Source organism: Homo sapiens, chromosome 15 (assembly GCF_000001405.40).
Source record: "Homo sapiens chromosome 15, GRCh38.p14 Primary Assembly".
NCBI lineage: Eukaryota > Metazoa > Chordata > Mammalia > Primates > Hominidae > Homo > Homo sapiens.
This window is the reverse complement of record NC_000015.10, coordinates 95,453,064-95,478,205: the sequence shown is the minus strand read 5'-3', so window position 1 is coordinate 95,478,205 and position 25,142 is coordinate 95,453,064. Positions and strand designations below refer to the sequence as shown.

Genomic DNA, 25,142 nt, shown 5'->3' with positions numbered 1-25,142 from the left:
AAGTTATCAAACAAGAAAAAAAAAAGCACCAAAGTTAAATTAAAATAGCAAAGTATTACCAATATGTTTTAAGACATTTCATTTGTATAAAGAATAGAAACTAACTTAAATTGACATAAATCTCATGACCTTTCTTCAAACACACACACGCATACACACATATATCCAGGTCACAAATTTTTCCTATGGACCAAGAGCGTAAAGCTGTCAGGAAAACTCACAAACATCGAGGGAGAAAGCCTGGGAGGCTCTCAGGAACTGGGAGATTCCTGTTCCTTTCTCTCTTAGCAGCCTTTCGGATCTCTGTTTTTGAATTTATCTCCATCTGCCTTGTTCACTTTCTTCACAGATTGTCTCTTTGACCACAGCAGATGATGAGTGCTCCACATTCCTGAGTTTGAACGTCCTCTCCATTTGAGTTCTGTGCAATCCAATTTTGTGATGAGACAATGTGACAGAACCAGGCTGGAACTGCCGAATAAAATAGTGACACAAGGCAGGGCCATCGTACCAGGTTGTCTTCTGAAAGCTCTTTAAGGGGCCTTAATGGGCCCAGCATGTGCTAGATTCTGTTGGTTAAGGGCACAGATGTTAAATCTAAATTGTCTATGTTCAAATCCCAGCTTCAAGTTGTTTGTTACGTGGTCTTGGGCCATTTACTTAACCAGACATTAAATACCACATCACCACCACTTTGCTTGGATAAGACCACCGAGGCACAGAGAAACTCAACCAGTTCAGTGCATACATGAGTCAGAGCATGGGTTTGCAGTCTGACCCTTGAACACAGGCTCTTAATTGCTAAGCTATTTTAATTGTAAGGAAACACATTTAGATACTTTATTTTCTTTGCTAAGACATTTAAAAATATTTCTTTGCTATGCAACAGGGACTTCTGCTCAGGCCAGAAATTATTAATGATAGAGCAGTGAAGAGAGAAAAAAAAGAGTTGGAAAAGAAAGTACTTTGTGTTTATTTACCTACGAAAATATAATTTCTTTGAAAGGAAATGGTATAATAAAATTTTAGTGCATCACTTTACATTTATTTAAAACATTTTTTCCAATATATATATTTGTTGTTCCAGATGGATCTTTCTGTGAAAAATAACCTTTAATATATTTTGGTAAACAATTTGGATAGCAAATTCTTCCTAATTCTTTTACTCTCCTCAACTCCAGAAGACTAGCTCATTGTCAAATTCTGGATCACTCTGAAAATATCTAGGCTGGTTTTATAATATTATTTATCTTTATTGCTGAAAACACAGCAGGTGAAGAAAAATGAAGACAATTTTGTAAATAATGGATGCAGAGATGACTTATTGTTTTTCTGCAATGAGAAATAAGCACAGTTTATTATGTGACCTTTTTTCAAGTGCCTGTCAAGAACTCAGAAATAATAAAGCCTTACTTGCAAAGAGTGACTGATTAAAAAGAGATACACACTTAAAATGTTGTATCTTTTTATTAAGAGCTAATCTTTTATTTGTGTGTTCATAGAATTAATGATATTTATAATCCTCCCCTCAGAAAACCCGTGGCTGCCCCCCATATAATGCACACACTCACCTGCACTTGCTGATTACATTTTTAGATATATTTCAGTTTAAAATGTATTAAAAAAAGATGTTTTATAACATATGCATGTGTTTTCTCCTTTATAGAAGGTCGTTTTGGATTTTGATCATTCTTCCTCTTGCTGGCTTTGAAGGGAGAAAGATCTTTTGACTTGTAAGGATCTGCAGTGTGCAGCTCCAGGCTTTTATTTCTATGAATAAGTGAGATGTTACCAGCTTCTTTTCTAATATTGATTCTAGAATTTCACCTAATTGGAACATTTTGGAACTATAGGTATATAACTCAACACCTTAGAATGTCCATGAATATCATACGATATCACTGGAGTGCAGCTTCAGTAGTGCAGCATTAAACAAATTGGCATATTGAAAAGATTTTGTTTCTTTTGCCTTCACGGTGTTCTAAATTTTTAAGATTATTCACAAAGAAGACAAGATGATTTTTGTTTGAAAGGCATAAACATTTAACACGTTTCCTTTGTGAAGCCAAGTTTTTATTAAGAATTTAAATGAAAGCTCTTTTTACATGAGTTCTTATTTAAGAGCAGAAATGCCCTCTGAAATAAAAACAAAATTAATAAAATTAATGAAAACACAAAAAATGTAACTCAAGTCACAATAGAAAAGTTTGCTTATTATAGCACATGGAAGGGGACTAGATAAAAAATTTAGAACTGACTTTATAGAATACACTATTTAAAGAGTGTCTTTTCTGGTCTGTACTCTGCCCTGTAATTAGCAAGATGTTGAATTATCATCCCACACAAGAAAGAATGTATTTGGGTTCAGTGAATCAAATGATTGCTTGGTCAAACATACACACACACTCACACACACACACACTCTCTCTCACAAGTAACACACTTAAGTAATAGTACATTTTTTAGTTTCTCGAAACATCAGAAAGGAAAGAATGATTTCCTTTAAATTTCACAAACAATAATGTTATAAATTTTTAATTTTACTAGTAAAGCTCACAATATTAAAGAAGAAAAATTAGGAAAATATGAGTTATACTTTAATAAACTATATTCTATCCCAAGTGTAGTTCTGTTTTGCTTTCATATTTTGATGCAATTGTTTGTCTTTAGGTTTTGAAAAGTTTTCTTAGAAATTGCATTTTTTAAAATTTGCTTAATACTAGGGCTATAGCTCTGAGTGAACAGAAAAAAAAAAAAGAAAAAAGAAAAAAATCCAACTAATGAAACCATCTGGGTATAAGCTGTTAAATTATTTTTTTAAACAATGTATGTTCCATAGCTCTTTTCCCTCCTTAAAGTTAGCAGGGTTTGAAAACCTTACTCGGTTTCTTCGATAAGAGGTAAATTGCCTTATATTCACTCAGAAGAAAGCTTACCTTGCACTTTATTCATAAACTGACTTGAAATGTGAAAGAAATAATTCTTCTAGGACATCCTGGCAGCAACTAAAAAACAAGACGAAATCTTCTTGTGTGCTCATGTATATTCCCAATTTTATGCACAGTGCTGAGTTGTTTTTTATTGCTTCCAGAGGAAATAAGCAAAACGTGTGTGTGTGTGTGTGCCTGCACACACGTGAGAGAGAGAAACAGAAAACGTGTATAAATGTGCATATACATGTCTTGTGTTCACTTGGCATACTGGTAACTTACTTGGTTAGTCTGATGACTGACATGGTAGGAAAGTCATCTCGAACACAACCAGAGAACAAAGGAATTTACCCAAGCAACCTGATGATCAGGGACACAAAGGCTTATCTCTTCTCCAGTCATCTAGTCACAGAGTAGATGGCTTTGTGATACATTTTTAGACCTGATATTTTAGGATATTACAGGTTCAAAGATTGAAAAAAATGTCGAGTTTGCTTTTGTAAGTCTCCTACGGCAAAACAACAATGGAGTCTATCAACAACATTCCTCTTGAGCATTTTCCCCGGCACTGTTGGAGTGAGGTAAAATCAGAATTCACTAAAAATTTGTTGTCAATACGTACTGTTCCTTTCTCTATTTCCTTCACTCATTTGTTTCTCTACACCAGTCTTGAGATACACATACATACACACAAACACAATGTGACACCATAGAAATATGGGTAATTCATAGCCGTACAAGTTGTTTCTAAGTCTTTGCTTAATTTGCCCTTTAAAATTAAACTATGATGGGTGAAATAGATGTACAATTGCATTTATATCATTACTCTTCTGTGCATTCAGCCCACAATAAGAACTGATTTTTAAAATAAAGAACTTATAATTTAGAAACTTACAAGTTTGATGTTAGTGCTAACGAAATGTGTCCTGTGCCTTTAATATGTAAATCTATTGAAATCCAGTCCTTGACATTGTGAGGGTCTCCATGCTTATTACTTTATGACATTTCCAGAATGAAGGTGCAGGAGGGGGCTCACATTAATTTGCTTTATGTTTGACTAGAGAGGCTTCCCATAACTATTAGAACCCACTTCGGGCTCACTTCATTTTAGAGTTGTTGTCAGTCATTTGAGAGTGATATGCCCTGTGGCTGGGAAGAATAAACACATCATATATTAGGTAAAGCTTTGATGTATGGGGGTTGCTGAATGCCAACACCTCGTTCTGTGGATAGGAAAAATCAGAATGTGGGAATGAGATTAGGATAGAAAGGAATATGACAGACAGGGGCCCAGCCAGCCTTCCTGGAACTTTCCAGCTCAGAATAAACTGAATGGGCAAAACCAGTATTTGTTTTGTTTTTGCTTTGGTGTGTTTTATGGTGGTTGTTCTGAAGAGCAGAATGAGATTCCAGAACATAATATTTGTTGTTTTTTTTTTGCCATTATCAAACTTTGAAATTAAACAAAACATTTAAGAGCTGATATTATACACTGGTCCAGAACATTTCAATCTCAACCACTTGTAACAACCGGCCAGAAACTAAGGGTCAGCATGTGAATCCCCATATTTTGTCTTCTTATACTCCCAAATGCTCCATTTTTACACATGTTAAAAAGTAGACTTTTAAAACTCAATAAAAATTTGGTTTTAGAGCATGGGAAAATAATAGTCTGTCCCAGAATCTACAAATATTTTTTTCACTTCTTTGGGTTACAGAATGAATTTATGACTGACTAGTATATTTTCAAGTTGGGAAGTCAATGAATTAAAGCATTATTTAGTGGAAAGCTTGAAATTTCCAAAAAATCCAGTTTTACCCAGAGGAATGTGTTTTATTTTTGCACGTGCTCAGCATCAATTTGCTCTACCTTATCTGAACTTCATCTTGAAGCAACTGCATGTTAGTCTGATTTGAACACAGGCGTTTCCACTCATGATGCAGCTGGTTTTCATGCTAGGCTACATGGTTCTTACTGAGAACTAATTATTTCGTATAGCTTTTATACTGTTCAGAGTCTTGAGAATCTCACTGAATGATGATTGGCATATATTACTACCTCACAGATTATATTAAACAGGCATATCTCACATTCTAATTGTATTGCCACTCTTTAGCCCTTGCACTGGGTCCTGCACATTCAGGAATGGTCTCCTCTCCTATTCTGTCATCTTGGTTAAAGAAAAAAAACATGTTGCCCTCTTTTTTACTGAGGGAATAAACCAAGAAAGTTCTATTTGTTAAAAGGAAGAATCTTATTTAGAAAAATTATACATTACAGATAAAAATACCAGTTTTCTCTCCCCAAGGCCACACATTTGAGCATTTGGAAGCAAACTGGCCACCCCGGAGGTCCATCCCTCTTCTCTGTTGTTTGCCTTAAACAATCTAACAGCATGAGGACAATAGAGCAAGTTAAATGTAATGAAAGTGGCTTTACTATATGTATGTATATAAGAAAAGAAATATACATGTATATATTTCAAGCAAGGGGATACATATTTCTATTCATTTTAAGTAACCCCAAAATCACAGTGAGCCACAATGATGAATGTATTTTGGCAGTTACAATAAATAAAGAGTAAAACAGTTTCTGTCCTAGAAAAAAGAAAAAAAATGATAGTAGAGAACCCATATTTGCATTTAATTTCTAATTTTCTTGCAAGTGGACCAAGTCTAATGATTTCTTATCAGAAGCCTCGAATCTTGATGCATCATGATTAATAAACAAATAAATATTACTCTTAATTTCCTTCTATGGATCTCTCCAAGTTGGTTAGTTAGGGTTATCTTGAACTACCTGAAAGGGATAAGATTAGACTACATACCTTAAAATATATAATATGTATATACTTATTTTTATAGCATTTATAACAATGGTCAACATTTGCCTATTGTTTAGGTTACATAATATGCACTTACGTATTGATAGCATTTATAACAATGGTTAACATTTACCTGTTGTTTAGATTATGCCAATCATGCTGCTTTGCTAAGGACTTTTGCTGCATTTCATAGCCTTAAGAACCTAGATGTAGTCACTTTTGGCAATATCCAGCTAGTCATTTAGTTTTGGAAAATTAGAAAAATAAAATAAAGATGTCCATGAATCGCTCTCCATACTGACATATTCTTATCAACATTGCCAATAAGGTTTTATCAGCCTCAGGCATGAGGCAGATCTATCTTATTAGTGTGAAAACTAATGAAAGATCATCCTGACAATGATAATTAATTGCAGTTGTTGACAAGGACTCAGTTCCTTTACACTCCTCTGCTGTTGCTCTTTCTCGGTCTTTCAGCTCTCTTCTCTCAATTAGACATATGAAAAGTGCGGCCCTCCCCTTGGAGAAAGAAGCTTTTAGATTAATCATATTATCTTAAGGTTCCAAATCTCCATGCCTGCGTGACCTTTCTTCCGTTAGAATCCATTATCTTAAACTATCACAATAATCCTGGCTTTAGGGAGGGAGAGAGGGAAAAGGAATCAAACCTAATAGATGGCAAATAAGATTAATCTATGATCTAAGTGCCGATTACACTTGGCCCTGCCCTTGAACACCCAGGTGTAACCTTGAAATTCACATCCGCTAAGACACAGCAATTGGATTGAGTGTCCCTCAAGGCCTTAAGGGCAGCTGGCCAAACTTTACCCATTACTCCCCAGCGAGATCGTGGGCTGTCTCAACCTCCAACTCTTTTTACTTGTGGAATTTGGCAGCTGTGCTTTTTCATGTTTGTTTTGGGATAGTTCACATTTTTTAGATAAAATACTTATTTTGGGTCCTTGATTTTTGTTTGTCAGAAGCACCAGGCCATGGAGGGAATGAACTTTTACCTGGACCTCACAAGAGGAAAACAAATGGTCCAGCTCCTCAGAATCTGATAGCTCCACCAAAATAAATTCAGTCTTTGCTTCTTTCAAAACACTGACATACTGATCCTTAAAGCTACATATGTTTAAGAACAACCAAGGGGAGAAAAAAAATTCCCCCTTGTAACATTTGTCTTCTGAACTTTGAGCTGATTATTTTTCTTCCACATGGCCTGAGGTCTTAGAAAGGACACCCTTTTGGTAAGATGGAACATGACATCGGGAAGTCCCAGCTACTGGTGACACAGACAGGAAAAAGGATTATGTAGAGAAAACAATTTCAGCCAAAGAGAAGTATCACTGGGTCAGATAGAGAGAAGGGAAGTAAAATAAAAATGTATTCTCATTAAAAGTTGGCCCTGTCTGCAGAAATTCAAAGTTGACCAGATAGAATGTTCTCTCATTATGCTTCTGTGTTGTTCAGACCTCTAAATGTATTGTAACCCTGGAAGATGGAATAAAATTAAGTCCAAAATAAGAGTAAGAAAGAAAGTTAGGTCTAAACAAGAAAAAAAATTAGTAGACTTTAAAAATATTAGAGGTAAAACTTGGTGGGTAGAAAATATGACCATGTATCCCAAAAAAGATAGCTAAATAAAAAATGCCAGGGACACAATTTAGGGAACTCACTCATGCCATTCTTATCAGTGTTACACGTATCTTGGGAGTGTCTCTCTGGCATACTCCCAGGCACAAGTTCTATCTAAAAACAGAACGACTCTTGCAGTGTTCACTTTGTGAAGGTTTTCTCAACTGTTCTCTTAACAAAAATTAGCACATATTTGTTTTTAGTTCATACTGAGATTTGTAGGACGAGGACCTCAGACCCACAGTTCCTGAGCAATTATTCTGTAATTTTTCTTGTCACTTTATAATTTAATTCCTAAAGTATTAGAAATAAATTCAATCTTACAGTAATCTCTATTTCCTTTTTTTTCTTTTAAAAGTAAGTCATTAGCTTTTTTTCTTAATAAGTGTAATGAAGGGGGTATAGAAACACCATTTTTCAGAGACCATCCTTTGGAAACTTAATTTCGAAGCTCATTTGTCAAGAAGACATGGCTGGTGACAAGTTCCTGGGTGGCACAAACTGCATGATCTAGAACTTGTCGTTTAACATGTCCGAATCTTGATTTGCACAAATGTAAAAAGGAATATGGAAATAAGTCTATGTCAATCCAGGGCTGAAGATTCAATAATTATATGTATAAAAGTGTCTGACAATAGCTGGCTGATTGGGTTGAATCCTAGCTCTGTTGCTTTTTAACTATGTGACCTTGGGTAAATTGCTCAACCATGTTGTACTTTAATTTCCTTATTTTGAGAGTAGGAATTAACAGTATTTACCTTATAGTGTTTTGTTGGGGTTTAAATGAGTTAAAAGAGCTAAATTGCTTAGAAGATATTTAAGAAGTACTGTATAACTGTTTGCCGTTATTGTTATCCTTGTTGTCACTATTAGAGTCTCAGTGAAAGATACTCTTTCTTTTTTTTTTTTTTTTTTTTTTGGCGGTGAACTCAAGAACACTGGAAAACAACAATACCACTGGTTTCTTAGATTTTTGCAAGGATCACAGCTGAAAAAACATCAAAGAAATGAAGGATTCCGGAAGCTCTGGTAAAAACACAAAGGATTCTTCCAGGCTTCTTTTCTCTTGTGAGTTAGGACAGTGCCATTTTGACGGAGTGTGGGAGCCGTTGTCAGCTGTCCTGGGAGGGTTAACTCACACCTAGGCGGGAGCCTAATGCCATTAAGTCAGGGAGAGTAATGAAATTTCATTTAATTTGTCAGGAAGAAAGTGCTAATGTTAAAAGGCATTTAATAAAAAAAGGGAGCGATTGTTTGAAAGGGAGTCCTTAAGTAATTACTTCAAGCGTCTTATGCCTACTCACCAGAATATTTACATTAGTGTCTTACAGTGCCAGTGTGTAATCAAATTAGTGCAGCATTGACAGTCCCTGTTTTTTTTTTCTTTTAAGGAAGTGTGATTTTATTAATAATCTTCCTTTTAAAAAGAGAGAAAAAATAACTTGATGTAATCAAATCAAACGTTAGCATATTTTTGTTTTTGAAAATTTCTTACTAAGAGAATCGCTGGGTTAATGTTGCAGGTGAGTGCACGTGTTGGTAAGAAGCGCTGACTCCAGGGCAGAGTGGCCGTGCTCCTTCCTCATCCCCACTTACAAAAATGCCACCTTTTATCTACTCAGACCTGACATGGAGATTCAGGTCAGCAGCCAGACCGTCAGCATATTGCAGTGGATACCCCTGCCTAGTCCGGGTTCTCTTTTCAACTTGTCTGCGAGGCAAGGAGGGATACAGATGTGGGAGTGAGGGGAAGTCCGCAGGAACCCGGGTGAGGCAGGCTCATCCCTCATCACTCTGTGCGCACGGAGCAGCTCAGGCTCTCGCCGGCAACAGCAAGAGGAGTTAACTAATGTGCTGGGAGTGGGGGACGGCCCATGGGACCACGACTGAATGCATTTGTACTTTTACAGTCAGGTCACACTGAGGAAAATGATTCTTAAACATTTCTTTGGAAGTAACTGCTGCTGTTTTCCAGATTAATTTATGAACATCGGAATGAATGAGTCTGCGCACTGATATCATGCAAATGTTTTCCTTTTATCAGGTCTGTCTTCTAAGGGATATGGGCAAGAGCATAGGCTGCTGATTGGAGACACAATGAATAAGATATAGAAAAGGAAGTATAGACTTACCTCATACAGGGGATTTGAATATTAAGAGAGGTCAGGTTATCCAAAAAGTGTGTAAACTATAAAGTGTTACTAATTCTAGCTACTATTATAACTATGGCTGGAGAGATCTTACTAAATTTCAAAACTGATTGTATCACTCTCCTTCTTATTATCATTCAGTGGTTTTCCATAGCTTCAGTGAATGCGTGAACTTTGCAGTAAACCATGCATCGCCTCTGCTGATTTCCAGAAGTCACATCCTTCAAGAATCTACTGTTTTTCAAAATATCAGGTCTTCAGAATAGAAGAATTCTCTTATCTCTAGACCTTTGCATGTGTTTTTCCCTCTGTCTAGAGCTGAGTTGCCCAGTGCTTTAGCCACTAGGCTCGTGTGGCTATTTAAATTTAAATTTGAAAAAAAAATTAAAATGAACGAACATAATTTAGTTCCTCTCATGCATTAGGTACGTTTCAAGCCCTCCATAGCTGTATGTGGCTGTGGCCACCATATCGGGAAGTGCAGCTGTAGGCCATTCATTTATAGCAGGGGGTTTCATTAAACACCTCAGGTTTATAGCCACCTTTTCTACCTTCTGACTTCATCTTTAATTTTTCAGCTTAGCTATCACTTCCACAAGGAAGTCTTTTCTACCTCCATCTCATTCCTTCAATGAGAGTTGGGATGTCATTTTTTAATATCCCACCCTATAAAAATTGCCTATATGTTTATCTGAATTTTCTGATCTAAGATGAGGCCGATTTTCTGATCAGCTCATGAGGTCAGGGTCTTGTCTTCTGAATTGATCAGCATTATATTGTGCACTTGGAAAGCAAATAATAGTGAAACCATAATGGAGTGTTTATTAGGTGCTATTGTAAGCACTTTATATGTATGATCTTACTTAATACATAAGTAGGTACTATTTATCTCCTTTAGTACATAACTGGCTGCTATTGTTATCGCAATATTGCAAACAAAGAATCTGAAGCACAGAGAGGTTAAACCACTTACAGACACCCAGAGGGAGAGGGAAGGGTGGGGCTAGGCAGCTGGGGCCAACTTAGGCTCTGAACCTCCATGTCTTTGGCGTTCAAACAACTTTTGTTGAACAAATGTAGGCGTACGTATGAATAGGCAATAAAGCAGACAGTAGTCACTCTTTCCTAACATCACTGTTTTATTAATTGTACTGATTTTCCCACCAGTCTGACTGTAAAAAGTATCGTTTTCTTTTAATAAGTGTTTTACGCTTTCTCCTTCAGTCCTCAACTGTAGGGTGAATAAAGAAGGCGTATTATACTGCCTCTACAAGTAAGAAACCTGATGTGTAGAGAGGGTAAGCAAGATAAAAGGCTAGTGGGCTGATACTATAAAGTCAAAGTAAGACACAGGCTTGGCAACTATTCAAGTGACATGATGCATATGGGCAATGAATCCAAGTCATCAACTTTGATTTTCTTTGGCATTAATGTCTTAGTTTTCTCACTGCTCAAGTCGTATTAATTAGCAATATCATTTCTTTCTTCATAACTGCGTGTGTTGCTAATGTTATTTGTTAGAACGAAATAGCTAGACATTGTTTTCAACAAATTAAGATGTCTATAAATAGGTCCCCAATCAGACATTAAGCCTCATGACTATTGTATCAGTACAGCTATTAATAAATCAATAATGTGGTTTTTGCCTATAGACTATTTTTAGTGTTTCAGATTGAATGTTGATCCCAAAAAAAGAGACTTTTTTAAGGCAAATTCATTTAATACAAAATTTTGGTTTAAGTGAGATTCTCATTACAGCTGAAGCTTAAGACTGTATCTTTCTGCAGGGTCCAAATACATTAGTAAATATGAAAATGGAGGGTTAATTGAATCTCTGTGGGACTATATTCCATTTTCTTGGAAAATCAAAGCATCAGCATGGATGAGTTGGTGTTCTGGATTTTGTATACTCAAAGTAATAGCTACCTAATGCTTTGAGGACTTAACATCGAGCAAGTGATAGTCTATGAACTTTACCTATACTGACCCCTGTATTCTTGGCAAGAAATCTATAAGGTTATTGTCTTTTTTATGCAGATGAGAAAGCTGAGGCATAGTGCTATAATAATTTCCCCAAATCATACTGCCAGGGAGTGACAGACTGTGATTTGAACTTATGTAATCTAATTTCAGAGCCCATTTTCTTAACCACTATTCTCTATTGCCTCCTGATCAACAGGTCCAAACACACATGCAAAATTTATACAGGGTTTTAGAATAGTTTTTCTTAAAAAGTGAGAATTATAAAGAACTTTCTGTGTTTTATTGGAGGGCGCCATCCTAAAGGAAAGTTCCCTTTGGATTGTCAATGCAGTTTTAAAAAGCGAAAAACTGCTAAATAGAAAACTACAAGAAGGGATTCCTGGTATAATTGAGCTCTTCAATATGTTTGAGGAATTTAGTTAGTTAGATAAAGAAGACTATTAAGGAACAACTATTTTATAATCTATCTTTTACTTTTATTTTCTTACTTTTCAATATAATAGCACTTTTGTCCAATGGTAGCAAAAAGCTTTCAGTTGGTTTTTAGATAATTTTTCTAAGTCGGTGACACTTAATAGTGCATATTGGCCAGATGCGGTGGCTCACGCCTATAATCCCAGTACTTTGGGAGGCTGAGGCAGGCAGATCACGAGGTCAGGAGATCGAGACTATCCTGGCTAACACAGTGAAACTCCGTCTGTACTAAAAATGCAAAAAATTAGCTGGGCGTGGTGGCGGGCGCCTGTAGTCCCAGCTACTCGGGAGGCTGAGGCAGGAGAATCGCTTGAACCCAGGAGGCAGAGGTTGCAGTGAGCTGAGATCACACCACTGCACTCCAGCCTGGGCAAAGGAGCGAGACTCTGTCTCAAAAAAAAAAAAAAGAAAAGAAATGCATAAATGTATATTGGTCTTTAAATAACCTTGTCTGGCTACTATCTAATATTGATCCATATAAACCTAAATGTATCTTCTCTTTTCCCAAACCCAAAGGATAGAAAAAGTAAAAATAAGGTAGCTTAAAAATACATTCACATTTCTTTATTGGCAACCGCTTCAGTCAAAACCCAGGTATAATTTTTCTCCTAATCACAAAGTGTCACTAATGACATTTTACAAATATATTGACTGTATTTTCTTGAGAGCTGTTTATAAAGTGGATACAATGGTTCATCCTGGTATTTGGCCACCTTTGTTACTTAGCAGGATTGACTGGAGATTGGATCTGCCCAGGTCTCCTGTAATCTGTCCTTTAGATGAGAGGGAATCGGAAAACCCGGACGCTACCAAAAATGTGAATTCAAGTGAAAAGAAAACATGTCCTAGCTTTTGAAGACCCTGAAGTAGTTGAAAAAAGATGATGGGTGTTTTTGACTCTAAAGCTCATTCTAAGGCAGGGAAGAAAAAAAAAACAGCAGATCTCTTTGCTTTTTCCAAAGAACGCTTTTGAGAAATGTGGCATTCCACAGAAGAACACAAAACAGCTAAAGCTTTTAGATGGAATTAAAATAATTGCTGACATTATTTAGAGCTAAACTACAGGCAAAGAAAACATTGAATGACCCAAAATCATGTATGTGGCATTAAAAATATATATATATTGAAATGGGGAAAACAGATTCAGAAGAAATGATTTGTAAGGATGTGGTTAAAACTATTTATATCCTGGGTTCTATTTGTTTTACAGCTAGTGCTGCACGGACAGCATGAAAGGTTATCTTTGACAAGGTTTTAGCTATTATTTTCTTCCAGTGAAATGGTATTTCTTGAGAAAAAAAGGTCTTTGGAACAAAATAACAATAAATCCTGATTTAGATACATAAACCTGCCATTGATATCACATAATATCAGTGTTCTTTCTCACTCGATACAGGCGTTTTAAAGATAAATGGTAAAACTGAACTGGAAATCCATCTGGCCGGCTGCCTGCTCTAATGAATAACCCCACTTTGGCTCGTGCAATGTAAGCAGAAAGTTCTCTCCCGGCCTCTTTCGTCTGTCATGAATCTACAAGACAGCCGACATAATATCTGGGCGACAACAGTGCGCTAACAGTGCAGTGACTTCCATTTTCTTTGCTTTCTATTGATTTTCACTTAATAACTGGCGAAATACTAAACGTCCGCCCTGAGTACCTAATAAATCCTGCCTGAGCTTTTTATTGAGGAGAATTTAATAAAAACAACCATTGCGGCTGAGGGATTTTTCTTTTGGACAGAACATAGGGGTAGGGGACAGCGAGGTTGGGGCAAGAGGTAGCCATTTGATTTTTTTTTTTTTTTTCTTTTCCAAACAGGACTTCTTCCCTTTGGAATGCAAGTGCGGTGGCAGTGTCAAGGATGCCTGTGTGTTTGCAGCAGGTTCCTTCCAGAAGCAGCTGCAAGTGCCACCTCCAGGCCATCTGGCCAATGTGAGGAAAGGAGGCTGCAAGGGCTTGGCAAAAACAACTTTCTGTTCCTCTGGTATCCCCTGATAACTGATTTCAAGTTATGGCCAAGGACTGCCTTATCGCCGTCAGTGGCTGTCAAAAATTTATAAGTATATTCATTTCCCTATTCAACTTAATTGGTATTTTGGGTATGACACTAGAAAAGCAAGTTAGACTTGCCTGTTGGAGTCCAAGGATACCTCCAACAAAATTCTAGACAATAAAAGAAAGGGTAAGTGTCTGAGGGGAGGGGGCACTTACAAATTATTCCATTTAATGCTAATTCGAGGCTTCCAGATTCATTTTGGGAAAATCAAAGAGCAAGAGCTGTATGCATGGCTTTTTAAAACACAAAGAAAATTGGGAAGCATGGGCTTCCCAATTTTCCTGCGCATAAACTTCTAGAACAATTTCTATTGTTGATACTTTAAAAAAAATCTTTTTCTTTTCTGTGATGTGGTCTTTTAAACTCATACCACAACTTATGGCTCCCTCTACTTCCTATATTTTAATTGATCTTGAGGTTATTTTCAAGTCACTGGGCTTAATGAACAAATATTTTAGAATTTCTTCCTTTATATACACTCATTTCTGTCTCAATAAAATGTCTAATCAGGAATTCACTTGTGTAGAAAATAAAAAATAGAAGTACATACCCTTCAAGTGAAGTTAGTTGTTTCTGTGATTTTATAAAATCCATGGACCTCAAGTTTGAGTATCATTGTTATAAAAAACACAGCCATTCAAGCCATGCATGGCACAATTACTCATTAACTGGGCAGCTTTTCCTTCAGAACACGGGAATATGGGGACAGAGGCCATGTGATAATGTTGCAGGCTCCATGTCATGGACCAGTATGGAAATCCTAGCTTTTCCTCCTCTGAAATTGGGTTACTTTGTCCATGAAATGGGGATATTCTTGCCGAACTAGCATGATTGACATCATCTCACCAAAATCTCAACAAACGTATGGGTACCCAACAAATGCTGTTGATTTATTTCATTGGGGTACTTCAGTAATGAGAAGTAGTTAATCAACCGGGTTAGGGTTTGAAATTGGCCAAATCTCAGAAATCACCCTGATGCGACTTAACTCTTCTCTGCCTCAGTTCCCTTATCTCTAAAATGGAACTAATATCAATGTTTTTGAAACTATGAAAAGAATTAATGCACATTAAGTCCTTAAGAGATTTCCTGATGTAAACTGTGGACCTGGGGTGACAATGGTGTGTCAGTGTAGGCTTATCAATTATAACAAGGGGGAGGGGGCTGGGTGGAGCAGGGGTGGTGGGGCAGCTGTGGGGGGGCAGGAGCTGTATGAGAAATCTCTGTCCCTTCTACTCAATTTTGTTGTGAACCTAAAACTGTTCTAAAAGAAATTAAGTCTATTTTGAAAAGTTTCCCTGCACATACAAATACTCCAAAAATATTGGCTCTTATGATTTACAAATAGTGCTCGAAAATAACTGAAAGCAGTCTGTGAATCTTTACAAAGAAGAACTTGACTGTTACGTCATTCTGATGATGGAGCTTTCATGTAATTTAGATAGCAATGCCTTTTTGTTAACCTCAATTTTTCTTTTTGAGTATTATATCCTTTCTGTCCCCAATTCTTGCTGAAGGGGGAAATGGAAGTAAAAACCTTTAATGTTTTCCATTTTTTCGATCATTTGGTTTCTTCTCTTTTTCAGAGCAGTTTCTTGTGAAACCTTATCTGTTCTTCCCTGGACAAAACGTGTTGTTTTCATTGTGTTAGATAGCCTAACACTGGAGAAAATTCAGCAGATCACAGTGCACATCCCCAAGTTGCAATGTGGGGACGGACAGTTCAGACGTGGAACTCCCAGGTATTTGCCGGACTGGTCCGTGTAAGACCTCTCACCGGTTCGCATAAAGGTGTATTGCTATTCAGATAATGTCTTCCCCTGCTCAACAAAAGGTTGTTGTACCGAGCTGTGATTGTGACAAATGATTTACTATTAGGAACATTCTGTAATTATTGTTCGGTGGGACCGCAGACCGATACATCATTAACATGATAGACGGCCTTTGATACCAGCAAAAATAACTAAATTAATAAAAATGGCTTCATTCCAATCCCTGTCAGAAAGCCAATACTCAGAACAATCAAGCAGCAGTGATACCTGAGAAGGCCATAGTTTATATCCCCCAACAAATCAGGTTTCATACAGAAGCAATAAAATATTTGTATATATAATCTCTGTAATATGGATCTGTATAATATAAGAGATTTTATGGAGATCAGCTCTAAACAAAAATATAGGATATGTAAATATTTTCTTCCAAATGATTTAGATGTAAATTTATGCTTTTATGCAATTGGATTGCAGTTTTAGAATATTAGAATTTGCCTTTGACATCTTTTCTTTCAAGATGTCTTAAGCACTGAGAAACATTTTAATGTAGATTCTACAGGCTAAAGTTTCGTTTTTCCTTTCTCTTATTTTCTTCTCTTTTTCCTTTCTCCCTTCCTTCCATCCTTTCTTTCCTTCTTTCTTCTTTCTTTCAATCCTTTCCTCCTTTCTTTCTTTTCATCAACAAATCCCTAATTTATGCTTTAAATCCTTAGCCTCACATTTCTGACATTTCTACACAGAATGAGAGGAAAGAAAGATCTATTTCTGAGTACTCTGTTGAAATAGACTTATAGAAACAAAATGCAGACTACGGGCATCGATACAAAACCTTTGAGGTCCACCTAAGTAGAAATCACAATTACATTTCTAGGTTTTTTTTGCACTTTAGTACTGAAAACAAATTTCAATTAAAAAATGGACAATTATAATAAGGGGGACCTGCATAGAAATCTAAGACTAGGAGCTCTCAAGAAATCAGAGAAAGTATAACAGAAAGCAACTGTTTTCTATTATTTTCTTCCTTACTTATTTTCTCTCTTTCAGTGTATTTTTGTCTGCAATCTCATATCCAAAACTCTTGGGATGAGATGTGTCCTGTAATTCAGAACCGTTATGATTTTGGAAGACATCTTGGCCACAAAGCCAAATACTATCTGCCATCATCAGGGAACCTAGGGTGGCATCCATTAATATGTATGCAACAACACATATGAATACACACCAACTGGGATAAATAAAGACTGCATCGTCCACATAGGTGTGGGTCACATTTTGCTACAAATGAAATCAACTTAGGTCAAAAATAAATGTTGTGTAGAGACTTTTAGATTAAGGAATTGCAACTGAACTGTTCAAACCAACTCTAAGAATCCTGTTAATTTAAATATAATCTAAATTCATCTTGTGTGATTCCATTCACTTTGAATACTTTTTTAAAGACTTTATTCTTTTAGAGCAGTTTTAGTCTTACAGTAGAATTGAGAGGAAGGAACAAAGATTCCCCATATACCCCCTTTTTTTTTTTTTGAGACAGGGTCTCACTCTGTCACCCAGTCTGGAGTGCACTGGCATGATCTCAGCTTACTCTAACCTCCACATCCCAGGTTCAAGTGATTCTCCTGCCTCAGCCGCCTGAGTAGCTGGGATTACAGGTGTGAACCACCACACCCAGCTAATTTTTGTATTTTTAGTAGAGACAGGGTTTCACCATGTTGGCCAGGCTGGTCTCAAACTCCTGACTTCAGGTGATCTATCCTTCTCGGCCTCCCAAAGTGCTGGGATGACAGGCATGAGCCACCATGCCGGGCCTCATATACCCTCACATTCTCACATGCAGTGACTTCCTTCCATCTTCCACCAGACAGGTGCCTTTGTTACAACTGACGAACCTACAGTGACACATCATCACCACCCAAAGTCCACAGTTTACGTTAGTGTTCATTCTTGGCGTACTTTCTGTGGATATTCCATTTCATTATACATTTGTCCTTTTGCACATTGTGACGGGGTTGTTCCACTCTTTTTTCTTTTTTTTTTTTTAATAAGAGACAGGGGTCTTGCCATGTTGCTCAAGCTAGTCTGGAACCCCTGGGTTCAAGCCATCCTCCTGCCTCAGCCTCCCAAAGTGTGGGGATTACAGGTGTGAGCCACCATGCCTGGCTTTTTCCACTCTTTGTAGGAGCTTGAAAATAATAGAAATCACCACTTAATGGATACTCAATAAATACAAGTTATTGGTTGAGTAACTGGTATTGTAACATAGCAGCCTTTTAGAAATGTGCTCCTGTGACTTCATACTTCTACAGAAGTTGCAAGGATCTAAACGCTTCAAACTCTGATAAACTTTATTCACTGACAAATTTATTCTCAGAAATGTTCATACCTTTGTGGAAAAGGTATAAAAATAGTCTGTAATTGTCTACATAGTAGATATTTTATTAAGTAAAGACATTGTTTTCAAAGCCAGATTTCTATCTAAGATGATTTTGAAAAATATCGCTGCTCAGTTCTTCCAATGCCATTGGCATAAGTGAAATCACTGTCAGCGGCTGGCTATAAAGGGAAGAGTTGTACAGAATTGTAGCTCAGAGATGCTGAGATGATATCAAATGTCATTTTGATTCTGAAACTAAAGAAGGGAAGAGTATTGTGCAAGGTGAGGGGAGGCATGCAGGTAAGGGATCCAGTGCAACCTTTCCTGGGTAGTCAGCGAGAGAATCATGCAATTGTTGTTATGGCTAAAGCTTGATTGAGACCTATTTTAAAACTCGTCTTTTCTGCTTTGGCCTTCTCTTAAAGGAAGACAAATGCCCTTGAAAAGGAGTCTTAAAAGTATGATTCACGGACTTGGGAAGAATTACAGGATGCAGACAGCCTAGAGTGGTGCCTCCTGCCCCCAAAGGAGTTCACATTTCCTTCCTCTTAATCTGAGTGAACCATTAAAAAGTTAGTCAGTTCCCTGGAGGCTCTTTCTGAGGAATCTCCTAAAAGGAAATACCCTGCACTGGAAAGGTAATTTACCTAGACAGGATTTAAAAAACTAAGTTCCAGTTCAGAGATAACCAGCGACTTTATATGGGCTGGTGTATTCCTCCTTTTAAGGATTCTCCCCTGAAGTTAGTTAACAAATCAAAAAGGTAGGCAGAACAACATCAAGAAAGAACACACTACCCTTGCACATTTTATTTATTTATTTTTATATGCAATTAAGTCCTCAAACGGATAGTTTCACTGCTGTTGTAATATCAAACTGTAAATATGCAATACATTGATTTTTTTTTTCCTGAAAATAGGCTCGTATTCAAACCAGAAACATTTTGTGTTCTATTCTGAGAATGTTTTTAATTATTTTAGCTAGTGGGAAAACTCTTTTCTTTGGGATAGGGATGTGGGAGGGGAACAAAAATCTGTGTTCTGGACCTTAGGGAGTGCTGTGGTAATTCAGTTTCTGAGGTCTTCAGGAAGCCGGGCTTAGGAGTTGATTCCCTTTTATGGCTAAATAACTCTTATGAATTTGTCTTTTCAAAGTCCACTGGAAACTGGAAAGAGGAGCATGATTACAGAAAGCTGCAGCTGTGAATATTTGCAGAGCAGCTTAGTTTCCCATCTCTATCAATTCTCTCTCCCCTGCCCCCACCTCCAGCAACTAATATCTTAGCATCTTATGGAGTAATATGATAGAACTGTCAAGAATGAATGAGGACTTTGGGCCGTATTAATTCCCATCAACAAACTAATGTCTAATGTTTTGTAGGCTACAGATAAGAAGTTGACCACTGCATTACATTTGTCAATAATTTTTGCATTTTCTAGGGTTAGGTTCATGGAAGGAATTTTTTCCTGATGGTGGTGAGAACGCTGTCAAGATTTTGTTGCTCAAATAAGATCAGAACATGCATTTGTTGTTTGCACACTTTTTCCTGGAAGAAAATGGAGGGGAACTATAAACAAGCAGAAAGGTGGAAAAATGCAAATGCTGGAGTTGGAGGTGGCTTATATAGGGAAGTCTCTGTATATTGAAACAAATCAGGGAGACTGGGCCAGGCCAGGCAAGAGAGGACAGCACATTCTCATCTTTTACTTCTTCTGAAATTGGAAGTACAAGATTCTGAAATTCTGGTAGATTAAACGAGAACGACAAGCATCTTTTTGCCTCAAGAAATTTAATGTTTTGTAGCCATAGGGCAGGATTCCGATACCATACTGTATTATCACAAGCTAAAGTCAAAAAAGAAAGAAGTTTTGAGAATGCCTGGATTTGTATGTTTTCAATACATAATACAACTCTTTCTGTGTGAAATGAAAGGCAGATCGTGGGAAAATGTATGATTCTATTTATAGTCAAATTTAAATTATCTGATTATAAGGCAAAATTAGGACAGACTTTAAACCTGCCCTTTTAGTGTCTAATTTGCCACAAAAAATAGTAAAACTACTCACATTTGATAAGCAATCTGTCTTGTTATTTCTTATCCTATGAACTATGAAAAAGAACTAAGAAAAATTCCCCTCTTTTTTTTTTCTTTTCATAAAACTCAATCCAGGGCCTGCATATTATATTCACATTTTTTCTTGTGTGCTTCCTTTTGTATGTTTTGGCCACACTGGCGGAATTTTCTATGATAAGAGGACCACCAATCCAGTATGCATGGTGTGGGGTTGGCCCGTTGAGTGGGCCCCACTGGGCCTCCGGGGAAGAGGGCCAGGAATTCACAGGGCTTGATTACCACCGGGGCTTTTTCTGCTTTTAAGTTAACTATGTTCTTCCTGGTAAATCAACGCCTCGACTTCGGAGATTGAACATCAGCTCTGTGATTGAGCAGAAACTCTGAAAAGAAGACTTGCCAGCAATGCCTACCTGACCTTTCTCCAAACTTGTTATAAGGAAAATAAGAAGGTGTCCAGGAGAAAGGGAGTCGTTGGATGTGGAACTACTAGGGGGACTTAAATGTTTTTAAACCAGCTTCCACGGTGACATATGTAAACAGAAGTCAAAGTATCTTCATGCATACAAGATAAACATTTATCATTTAGCTTTTCATTTTGTGTCCATAACACTTGCATGTGCCTGCCATGAGTATTTTCTTTCTAAAAAGCATAAAATTAAATTTACCAGGATGCGTCCAATTGTGATTTCTCTATTTACTTCCTATGATCTAACACAATCTGGTAAATATTTATGGGACACATGTGCCATTAAAGTGGCTGGGTTATATGTTGGTGACATGAAGATAGAGTCGTTAATACTTGAGATTGGTCAAATGGCTCTGTTAGTATTCAAATTTTCTGTTCTTAACATGGTTGTTAGCATTTTCTTTTTGATAGGTTTGGTTTTATTATTGTGACCAATTTTTTATCTCTCCTTGTATCTATGGCCTATGATGTGTGATTTTCACATGTGACTTAAGGAGATAAGTATATGAGCTTATCCCCTGACTTAGGGTTACCCATATGACTTGCTGTGGCCAAAAGAATAAGGTAGAAATGAGAGCATGCCCTAAGAGGCATTGCATGGTATTGCTTTCTTTCTTATGCTTATGCTTAGCCATGAGAACATACCTGGGCAGCACTGTTTGTCCCAAGGGGAAGATGAAGAACATAGAGAACAGAATCAGCTGAGCCATCCCAGCCAAGCTTAGCTATGATCAACTATGTCCTAACTGATCTCCGGATGCATGAGTGATCATAAACCCTAGCTGTCTAAAGCCACTACCTTTTGGAATGGTTTGTTATATAGCAGTCACAATAAGATTTATTCTTTCATTCATTTATTAATTTTCAAACATCAGTTGGACACTTCCTAAGCCCCAAGTTCCGTGGCAGAGGCCTGAGATACAAAGTGCAAATTTCCAGGGAAAACAGAAAAATGGAGCAGTCAATAAAATAGATGCGCAAAGTGCTGAGATAAAAGTGTGCCTTGGGTGCTATGGTGAATCCTTAATAGGATGGTATAAGAGGCATTCTGGAAGAGGGATAATGCCACGTGAAATTTTAAAGAGTGAATAGGGATTAGGAAGGCACTAACATTGGATTTTGAAGAGAAAAAGAGTAGAAGGGCATTCTTCGCAGAGAAAGCACAATCACATTTGCAAATATCCTCGTGCTGAGAAGCAGCCTGGTGCTTTGAGGCCGCAGCAAGGCGCCTGACACAAGCAGGAACCATGCTTTGCATTTTTTTTTAACTCAACATGGTACTTAACATAGCCAAGTCAAGTATGGTCAAGGGATGGCTTGGCAGTACTATTGGGCACTGTCTTAAGTAGAAACTAGAGACAATGTCTAAGAAAAGTCACCTTAGGGATACCCAGCATCCTATGTGAATTCAGACCTAACTGCTTGAGAATGTCAAACTAAGGCAGGAAGTCTTTTGATTATTTGTGGTGTTTTTCTCTTCACTTCCTGCTTTGATCCTATAGCACAGGAACTAAAGTATTCTAAGGGAAACTACTTCCTTGGTATTTTTGGCGTGCCTCTTACCAGGAAATTGGTGGGAGTGTCAGGGGTACCCTTTTCAAGAGATTTCCATTTAAACTATGGGTGGGGGTGGGGGTGCATCCACTTCCTAACCATTTAAGGCTTTAGTCATTTGTGGTTTGCACATTTTCACCATCATAAAACTTCGTTGAGAAACAGTTAGGAAGTCCTTAAAGGTCCTATCATCACTTTATCTTAGCTGCCAAGTTATAACTCTGCCATCTATATGAAACTATGCTTTAAATAGAGAGATCTGAAACATAAGCATGTTCCAGTTGGAAAGAGGCTCTGAGGTAGATCACCTGGCAGTTTTCCCCTCATTTACCAAGTTGGAAGGAAATGCTCTGAGGAAAAAAATATATATATTGGTTCAAGGTCCCATTAATTAAGGACAAAAATGGAACCATACCCCTGGTTCCCAAGCTGGGGGTGCTTAGCACTACCCAGCTCATGGATTCTTGACTTTTTATGCAGCACACATTAAACCTGAATCATGGACAAAACTTAAACAGAGAAAAAAACAAAGTGTTTCAAATGTCTTAGAGCAAGAAACAACAAATCAAAAGAGAAAATGGCAATTGGAATCTTTAAGAACTGAAGGAATTTGCTTTTCAGGTATCAGGCTAATTTAGAATGATAAAACAATTAGTAAATTTGACATGTAGGTGTATCAAGTAGGGAAAGATACGGAAGGGGAAGAAGAGGAAAGAAGACACTACATCTTTAAATTGAATTGAATGTTCTGTGACTTTAAGTGAAAGCTCTTCTGTTGTTGGGCAAATAAATTTAAACCACTTAACATGGCAGAGAAGGTCAGGCAAGCTTATTATAGTGATCATAGCGTTACAGCTATTGCGATTGACCGCTGCTCTCTGGAATCACCAATAATCAGAGACCGCAAGCTGTGTTTGCAGAGAAAGGTCATCATTCATTTTTTTCAAAGCATTAATATCTTTTGTTTGTTTGGCTCAACATGAAACAGGAATCGATAGAGGTAATTCACAGAGCAATTAGCCCCTCATCTGTCAAACGGCATCTGGGTGTATTTAACAAAAAGACCTTTGGAAAGGTTTAAAAAGGAAGAAAGTGCCTGTACGGTCAACAATTTATATTTTTCTACATGACATGTTGTGTATGTATCTGTAAAAAGGGGGGCTTTGGGAGTAAGAAAATATACATAAAGCAGCTATAAATCTACACTTCAGTGTTATGATGTTGCAATGTAGAGATAGACCCTAAAAAGCTCAGATTACATCCTCATCCTGTTCCCAGGAAGACAGCAAGCAAGTGGCATTTGGGGTCTCTGTATCATGTTTGAACACAGCCGTGGTACATAGATTTCTCTGAAAAAAAGACTTCCAGGAAAAAACTTCTTGTGGACACTGTAACAAATTGGAGAGGGTCAAGCATCAGAAACAAATATTCCCTTTTGGCTTCAAAGCCTGTGATTTTTGTGCTGGGCTAGACTGCTTCCGAGACAGGTCACAGCCTTCCTGTGCTACCCATCAGCCGGCTTGGGAAGAAGTCATTGACGGAGACATCTTTCTCACTGCTCACCAGTGGCCACAACAGTCTTGTGTCAGCCCTCTGTCTACATCTAATTTGCCAATATTGGAATGAAAAGCAAAATGCAAAATTAAGTTAAAAGACTTGTTGTACTCTCAAAAATGAATTGTGATCTCGATCTGTTTTTCTTTACTGAATTTCAAGTGTGTGTACTATGGAATGAATGCAATACATATCAAAGACGTGGACTTTAAAAAAAAATCAGCTTAGGGACTTGTCTACACGTTTACACGAATGCTGTTACTCTCAGCAGGACCAGATGTATTTTTGAAATGTATTTTCTTTTCAATTCTGGCTTTTTTTTTCCTTGGGTTTTTTTTTTTTTTAACTTTTCTTTCCTTCCCCCCAACCCCCAACCCAGCCTTCTGCCTTCCCTTTTATTTGGGTCTTCTCCCAGGCCATAAAATGATGGCTAAAAAAGAAGTCATGAGATATAAAAGAAAGTGACAAAAGTTTTCCTTACCTTGTGACTTGTTTTTGGTTTTGAATTTAATTTTTTTTTTCTTAATATCAGAGCATTCCAACAGGTTCCTTATCCATCTCTAGGGCTCTTTCTGGATAACTGTGTCTTACCTGAAAATTATGTAATATAGTTAATTTAAAAAGCAAGCAGGCCAGGCACAGTGGCTCATAGCCTGTAATCCCAGCACTTTGGGAGGCTGAGGTCACCTGAGGTAGATCACCTGAGGTCAGGAGTTCAAAACCAGCCTGGCCAACATGGCGAAACCCCGTCTCCACTAAAAATACAAAAATTAGCCAGGCATGGTGGCACATGCCTGTAGTCACAGCTTCTTGGGAGGCTGAGGCAGGAGAATCACTTGAACCTAGGAGGCAGAGGCTGCAGTGAGCAGAGATCATGCTACTGCACTCCAGCCTGGGCAACAGAGAGAGACTCTGTCTCAAAAACAAGAACAAAAACAAAAACAGAAAAACAACAACCACAAAAAACCAAGCAGCTACAATTAACTTTGAGTAGAGTCACACTGTGAAGAAAATATCAAAGCGAAAGACTGAAAGAAAAATCCTCAAGTAATGTTGTGTTAGAGTGGAGGGATTATGGAGGTTACTTTCGTTTCATTCAATTTCCCTATTTTCAAAATTTTCTTTTTTTTTTTTTTTTTTTTTTTTGAGACGGACTTTCGCTGTTGTTGCCCAGGCTGGAGTGTAATGGCATGATCTCGGCTCATCACAACCTCCACTTCCCTGGTTCAAGGGATCCTCCTGCCTCAGCCTCCCTAGTAGCTGGGATTATAGGCATGCGCCACCACGCCTG

General features: G+C 37.5%; 2 long non-coding RNA genes across 6 annotated transcripts in view; one reads left to right on the top strand and one right to left on the bottom strand.

Moving 5' to 3' along the window:
* The window catches only part of LOC105370993 (uncharacterized), a 30,197-nt gene extending 15,578 nt beyond the window's left edge, over positions 1-14,619 (top strand). For 2 of the 4 annotated variants that reach the window (NR_188326.1, NR_188325.1), the window contains 2 exons: positions 13,397-13,486; positions 13,820-14,619. This is a non-coding gene — a long non-coding RNA (uncharacterized LOC105370993). Of the gene's footprint in view, positions 1-7,515; positions 7,751-8,327; positions 8,462-13,396; positions 13,487-13,819 lie in introns of those variants that run through there. The other 2 variants (NR_188327.1, NR_188328.1) reach the window with 2 other exon arrangements.
* Positions 1-25,142, bottom strand: part of LINC00924 (long intergenic non-protein coding RNA 924) — a 74,755-nt gene that overhangs the window by 29,642 nt on the left and 19,971 nt on the right. For both annotated transcript variants that reach the window (NR_027132.1, NR_027133.1), the window contains exon 3: positions 24,333-24,442. This is a non-coding gene — a long non-coding RNA (long intergenic non-protein coding RNA 924). The remainder of the gene's footprint in view (positions 1-24,332; positions 24,443-25,142) is intronic.